The sequence below is a fragment of the Homo sapiens genome, chromosome 1, assembly GCF_000001405.40.
Source record: "Homo sapiens chromosome 1, GRCh38.p14 Primary Assembly".
Taxonomy (NCBI): Eukaryota; Metazoa; Chordata; class Mammalia; order Primates; family Hominidae; genus Homo; species Homo sapiens.
The window spans coordinates 46667607-46673867 of NC_000001.11; the positions used below are offsets into that span (position 1 = coordinate 46667607).

General features: G+C 52.2%; 2 protein-coding genes across 7 annotated transcripts in view, besides 3 other annotated features; one reads left to right on the top strand and one right to left on the bottom strand.

The window, feature by feature from the left end:
* ATPAF1 (ATP synthase mitochondrial F1 complex assembly factor 1) overlaps positions 1 to 951 on the bottom strand; it is a 35821-nt gene extending 34870 nt beyond the window's left edge. Inside the window, exon 1 of one of the 3 annotated variants that reach the window (NM_022745.6) lies at positions 451 to 951. In NM_022745.6, coding sequence (NP_073582.3) covers positions 451 to 785 — 335 coding nt within the window. In that variant the 5' untranslated portion in view covers positions 786 to 951. The remainder of the gene's footprint in view (positions 1 to 450) is intronic. The other 2 variants (NM_001394565.1, NM_001042546.2) reach the window with 2 other exon arrangements.
* Positions 328 to 947: a silencer, noted in NCBI's record as "silent region_850". NCBI's record gives its function as "represses an Ori minimal core promoter by ATAC-STARR-seq in GM12878 lymphoblastoid cells {active_cell/tissue: GM12878}" and the evidence as "EXISTENCE:reporter gene assay evidence [ECO:0000049][PMID:35858748]".
* Positions 375 to 545: a silencer, noted in NCBI's record as "fragment chr1:47133653-47133823 (GRCh37/hg19 assembly coordinates)". NCBI's record gives its function as "represses an EF-1alpha promoter that drives an FKBP-Casp9 reporter gene in an ReSE screen in K562 erythroleukemia cells {active_cell/tissue: K562}" and the evidence as "EXISTENCE:reporter gene assay evidence [ECO:0000049][PMID:32094911]".
* Positions 1058 to 1207: an enhancer, noted in NCBI's record as "active region_1007". NCBI's record gives its function as "activates an Ori minimal core promoter by ATAC-STARR-seq in GM12878 lymphoblastoid cells {active_cell/tissue: GM12878}" and the evidence as "EXISTENCE:reporter gene assay evidence [ECO:0000049][PMID:35858748]".
* On the top strand, positions 1280 to 5988 carry TEX38 (testis expressed 38). 4 transcript variants are annotated; one of them, XM_011541421.4, is made up of 2 exons: positions 1280 to 1872; positions 5267 to 5988. In XM_011541421.4, exons 1-2 carry the CDS (start codon positions 1833 to 1835, stop codon positions 5848 to 5850), a joined length of 624 nt encoding a protein of 207 aa, XP_011539723.1. In that variant the 5' UTR covers positions 1280 to 1832; the 3' UTR covers positions 5851 to 5988. The 4 variants fall into 4 exon arrangements, with proteins under 4 accessions (XP_011539723.1, NP_001138946.1, NP_001287792.1 ...); NM_001145474.4 differs by lacking the exon at positions 1280 to 1872 and adding an exon at positions 4248 to 4365; NM_001300863.2 differs by lacking the exon at positions 1280 to 1872 and adding an exon at positions 4248 to 4365 and having other exon boundaries at positions 5346 to 5988.
* Positions 5989 to 6261: the final 273 nt, after the last annotated feature.

Consider the following 6261-nt stretch of genomic DNA (forward strand, 5'->3'; position numbering starts at 1 on the left):
CCTCCCATCCCCAGTCGCCTTTCCTTGCAGTCAAGGCCCTAAGCTACCACCAGCCTGGGAACTCCAGCTCTGAGCCAGGCCTCAGCTATCTTAATATGTGACCTTGAGCAAGTCAAGTCCCTTCTCTAGAAGGCGTTTTCCCATTTCTATAATGAGGACAGGTGTCTCTGAGCTGCCTGCCTCAGGGCTGTCATAAGAGTCCACCTTAGCGTTTGGAGAACCAAAGCAGACAAACGTGGAACGAGCCAGGGCTTTGCAGAGACTCCCAGCTCTGACACCAATTAGCTGTGTGATCTTGGGCAAGTGACCTAGCCTCGCGGAGCCTGGCTACATCATCTGAAGAGCTGGGACAGTACTAGTGCCCACCTCACAGGGCTGTCCTAAGGCCCAGCAGCCCGGGCCGCCCCTCCTCCCGCCTCCTGCCCGCCTCCAGCCAACCCAGGCCCGCACCTGCGCAGCAGCTGGATCTTGTCGCGGTAGCGGTCGTAGAAAGGGTTGGCCTGGAGCTCGGCCTCGGCCCCGACCCCGCTGCTGTCGGCGCCCCCCTCGGGCCGGCCCGAGCCGGGGCGCACTGGGAAGACGCGCAGCTGCGCGGGTGACACGAGCCCCAGGCCCAGGGCGCGGCTGCGCACCGCGCACAGGCCCCGGTAGAGACCGGCCACCTGCAGGACCGCCGGTCCCGCGCCACCCGCAGCCGCCACCACCACAGCAGCCATGGCCGCCCCCGCCTCCTCCTCCTCCTCAGGCGCGTCGGCCTCGGCCCGCGGCCCGCGCGCCCGCTCCATCCCGCTCCGAGTGCGCCGCGCCCGCGCTCCGGCACCGAGGTTCCGCGCGCCCAAGGTTCCGGGCGCGGGATAGCGGCGAGGCGGGGCGGGGAGGAGGGGGCGCGCCGCTCTGGCCCCGGCACTGCGCGCTCTCGCCGCCCTGTGTATGCCACGGCCCGCCTCCTCCAGGGAGGCTGCCCAAATTCAACGCCCTTCCTCCCTCTGGGACCAGCAGCCTCTGCGCGCCAAGTCCGTTCTCTAAAGCCAGCGGATCTCCATGTCCTCGCGGTGCTTGCCCCTGGCACTCGCTGTAGTGCCAGGCACTCGATGTAGTAGTCCGTCCTTCAGCATCGAAGGTCTTTTCATCAACTATAATCACAGCAGCAAGCTTCTCTTTACTGAGGTTGCTATGTGCAGGACACTGAGCGGCTTCATACTCTGTGTGGCAGTATTATCCTCATCTAACAAATAAGGAAACTGAGGCCGAGAGTAATTATGTGACTTGTTCAAGTTCTACCCGACAGCTGAGCTCTTTTCAAGATGGCAGCTGCCTCCCAAGCCTCCTTTTCCTCTGCTTCCTGACATCCTCCTTGAACTCCAGCCACAGTGACCTATTCTCTCCCAAAGAAACACCAGGATTACTCCTTGAAGAGTCCTTATTCAGGCCCTTTTTGACCCCTGGAATCCTCTCTCCTTCCATTCTCTCAACCCAAATGCCACAATCTTCCTTACCGTCTGAACCAGGTGTGAGCTCCTAGGGTCAGGGACAGTGACATTAACATCTCTGTGTCCCACCTGCTCACAGAACAGGGCCAGTCCTGGAGTGGGCTCTCTGGGACAGTACTCATCATCAGGTCCTTCTTGTCTGGGTTTTGTCTGATTGAAGCCCCTCCTGGGACAGGGGCAGAGCCTTCAACTCTGCTCAATCCAACCTATGCTCATGGAGATCAGCCCTGAGCCCTGCCCTGTGCGAGGAACAGTGTAATGGAAGATGAATAAGTCCTTCAAGTATGCCAGCCCATACCTGGCTCACACTCCTAACACTTGCTGTTTTCTCTGTGGATCTGCATGTGGCTGCCTCCTCATCATCTAAGGGCTCAGTTCACATGTAAGCACCTCCAAGGGACCTAAATGACAACCCCTCCATCTCTTTATAGTCTTTATCCCATCACTCTATTGCATTCTCTTTATAGCAGTTATCATTATCTGAAGTTCTTAGATCCTTGTTTATATTAATTCATTGAGCTTACATTCTAGTGGAGTGAAACAGACAGTAAATATATAATGTTAGGTGATGCTACATGGTATGCAGAAAAACAGCAGGCCAAGAGAGATAGAGATAAGGGGACACTTGAGCAGAGACCTGAAGGTAATGTGGGAATGCTGGGGGAAGAGCCTTCCAGGTAGGGGAAACAGCAAGTGCAAAGGCCCTGATGAGGAGGTTATTGAGTCTGAATGAGTGAGGGCACAGCAGCAGAAATGAGACCAAGAAGGTATAGGGAGGGCTAGTTAGATTGCTTAGGCCTTGGTTAAGGACTTTGATTTTAAATCGAATGAGATCGGAAGTTACTATATGTTTTAAGCAGTGGAGTAACATGATCTACTTTTTAAAAGGATCATGCTGGCTGCTGGTGGGATTTAGGATATGTGGAGGCAAGGATGGAAACTCTCCCAAGGGTGACTAATTTATTCCAGTTTGCCTAGGACTTTCTTGGCTCTAGCATTGAAAGCCCCATGTCCTGAGAACCCACCCCAAGTCCTGGGCAAACCAGGATGTTGGTCACCCTACAGGGAACAGTAATCCAAGTGAGAGATGGTGGTACTTGGACTAAAGTGATAGTGATAAAAAAAAGTGGCCAGATTTTGGTTATATTTTGAAATAAAAGCCTAAAGATCTTGCTGATGGAGTCAGTGTGGGTGTGATAGAATGAAAGGAGTCAAGGATGACTTGCAGGTTTTTGGCCTGAACAACCCGAAGGACAGAGATACTACTTATGAAGAGGAGGAAGGCTGTAGGTAGGGTAGACTTTGGAGGATGGATAATCAGAGTTTGGTTTTGGACATGTTGGTTTGGGATAATTTAACAGACTGGCAAGGAGGGATGTCAACCAGGTATTTGGGTATGAGTCTAAAGTTCTGAGGAGCATTCCAGGCTGGAGAGATACAGTTGCGTACTGTCAGTGTATAGTGATATTTAAAGCCAGGGGTCTGGGTGAGATAACTGATGGAATGAATGTAGATAGAGCACTAAGAACTGAGCCCTAGACATGCCTACATTTAGAGATCAGGGGAAAAGGGAGAAACCAGCAAAGGAGACTGGAAAGTAGGGGCCAGTGATATACGAGGAGAACAAGGGTAAGTGGACCCTGGAGAGAATTCTGTGCTAAATAGTTCCCTAAGTCACACATTGGAGGACTATAAAGAGGGGAGTCATTAAAATGGTGCTAAGAAGCTGAGCTACAAGCAGTGGTGCAACATACTGGGAAGGCTGACTTAAGCTTAATTAGGGAAGGGCTTTCTAACTGAGCTGCCCATAAATGCATCAAGCTGCCTCAGGAGGTGGTGAGCAAGTTCCTGACTCAAGTGAGTCTTGAGTCCAGGGAGATTAGTTGCTGTGTGGGGAAAAATCTACCCCCAGGAGTCAAGCATGGCCCTGATGGTGGGATCAGATGGTGGAGATGAACTAGACAACTCTCAAAGTTTCTTCAAATTGGCGATGATATGATTCTGGGCAGTCTGTCACAGAGTAGGGGGGCTGAGCTGAGTCTTGAAGGATGAGCAGGTGTTCAGTGGTGGAAAAGTGGGCAGGGGCACTCCTGGGTGAAGGAGCAGCATGGGCACACCTCCAGAGATGTGAATGAGCAGGGTCTGTTCAGGAGTACGGACTAGGCAAAAGGGAAAAGTGTGTGGAGGACGAGGAGGGAAGTAAGGCTGGAAGTAGATGCAGGCCAGATGGTGGGAAGCCCCACAGGGCCTGGGGCCTGGGAAACACTTGTCAGCACTTGAAGGAAGGTAATTAAATAAAAGACAGATTGTTGGAGCCAAAGAAGGAGGTATTGACCACTTGGTTCCCTTGAGCAGGTTTCTTCCTGCCAACTTGGTTAGATACTTTTTGAGAACAGGGCTGCCCAATGCTGTGTGTTCCTTGTTACATTCCTCACTGGGGACAGGTATCCCATCAACCGTTCCCTAAAGACCAGCAACATCCGTAAGTACCTGAGGGACAATGGCCCTTTTCTGGGGTCTGCTCTGTGGGTTCACCATAAGGGGTAGGTACAGACAATTCAATAGGTGAACCAGTCTCTGATGGAAGTAGTAGTGACATTCCACCCAAAAAATGCCACTGGATGAAGTCCCCTCCTTCCATTAACCCAGGACCACTTCACAAGCACTGCCCCTAGAATGCCCAATTCTCAGAACCCAGTGACCTCTCCTTTAGAGAACAAAGGGCCTGGGCATTCTGGAGACTCTGATTGGCTGGGCAGATGGGCTGACTGGCTGGGCAGATGGGTGGGTGAGTTCCCTCTCCCCAGAGCCATCGGCCAGGTACCAAAGCTCAGCTGTATGGATTCCCAACAGGAGGACCTGCGCTTCCCTGGGAGTAAGTGCTCCTCCAGTCCCTGTCACTGGACTTGTGCCTTAGGGCTTGGGGACAAACACTCAGGGAAGGCCCTTTGCATGGATGGGACAGTGCCTGGCTGCCTGGAGGAGAGCTAAGCAGTTAGGAGATAGTCTACTCTAGAAAACTAAGAATTATTTTAAGGCAAAGACCATGCTCTGATCAACCAGAGAAGATACTATCAATAGCCCAGGACTATCACAGCTGAATGGAATGGGATGGGACATTGGTGTCTCTGTCAACTGATGAACTTTCACTTTTTTTTTTTTTTTTGAGATGAAGTTTTGCTCTGTTGCCCCGGCTGGAGTGCAGTGGCTCAATCTAGGCTCACTGTAACCTCCACCTCCTGGATTCAAGTGATTCTCCTGCCTCAGCCTCTGAAGTAGCTGGGACTGCAGGCATGCACCACCACACCTGGCTAATTTTAAAATTTTTAGTAGAGACGGGGTTTCACCATGTTGGCCAGGCTGGACTTGAAGTCCTGACCTCAAGTGATCTGCCCACCTGGGCCTCACAAAGTGCTGGTGAACTTTTGCTTCTTGATGGACTTGCCCATAGTGAAACTTCTCAGTCTGATGGATTGGATGGGTCCTGGGTTAGGAATCAGAGGCTTGACTGAGCCTGGGCAGCACATGCCCCCGCTAGACCTAGCTTTTGTGATCTGTAAAGAGTTAAAGGTGGTGCTTAAGCTCCCTGGAAATCTAGCTTTGACTGAATAAGGGAATGATGAGGCAAGTCAATAAGGGAGGGAAGGAACGGTGAGAGTAGTTAAGTGGATGGAGCGATTGATGCATGGGTTAAGTGAAAGAGGAATGAGAAACAGCTCAGGCCCCAAGCTACAGCTATCAGCCAGCATGCCTCTTTTTCTTTCTTGCTGCCTTAGTGTGGGTCTCATTGTACTTTGGAATCCTGGGGCTGTGTTCTGTGATAACTGGAGGGTGCATTATCTTTCTGCACTGGAGGAAGAACTTGAGGCGGGAAGAGCATGCCCAGCAGTGGGTGGAGGTGATGAGAGCTGCCACATTCACCTACAGCCCATTGTTGTACTGGATTAACAAGCGACGGCGCTACGGCATGAATGCAGCCATCAACACGGGCCCTGCCCCTGCTGTCACCAAGACTGAGACTGAGGTCCAGAATCCAGATGTTCTGTGGGATTTGGACATCCCCGAAGGCAGGAGCCATGCTGACCAAGACAGCAACCCCAAGGCGGAAGCCCCTGCTCCCCTGCAACCTGCACTGCAGCTGGCTCCACAGCAGCCCCAGGCCAGATCCCCATTCCCACTTCCCATCTTTCAGGAGGTGCCCTTTGCCCCACCCTTGTGCAACCTACCCCCCCTGCTGAACCACTCTGTCTCCTATCCTTTGGCCACCTGTCCTGAAAGGAATGTTCTCTTCCATTCCCTCCTGAATCTGGCCCAGGAAGACCATAGCTTCAATGCCAAGCCTTTTCCTTCAGAACTGTAGCCTCCTCTCACTGAAGGTGGGAGCTGCAGGAATCAGGTGCAGAGTAGGAAATGGAACTAACCTCAGGAAGGTGGTATTGACAGAGGTCAGGACCCACCTGGATGTCATGCTATGAAACATTAAAAGAAAAAAAAAAAAGTCCAAGGCTCCCTCGTTTCTCATTTGCTGTTAGGAAGGCAATGTCCTTCCTGTCTGATGGGGTCACTTTGCAAACCAAGTTGGTTGCTGAGTCTCACCAATATGAACTGGCACTGGTGGTTGGCTGTGGGGAGACACACTGAACCAGTACTTGTGGATGGACTCAATATCCCTCTGTTCAGTATTTAAAACAAAAATGTGTGCCAGGCCCTGGCCTAGGTACCCCAAGGCACTGGTGTTCTGTGGGATGTGAAGCACAGCTGCCACCAGAGT

Bases quoted from the DNA above. Each gene is read 5' to 3' on its own strand.
- TEX38 (XM_011541421.4), top strand. From the start codon at position 1,833: ATGTGGCTGCCTCCTCATCATCTAAGGGCTCAGTTCACAT. The intron at 1,873-5,266 runs GTAAGCACCTCC...TTGCTGCCTTAG, and splicing joins TCTAAGGGCTCAGTTCACAT to TGTGGGTCTCATTGTACTTT.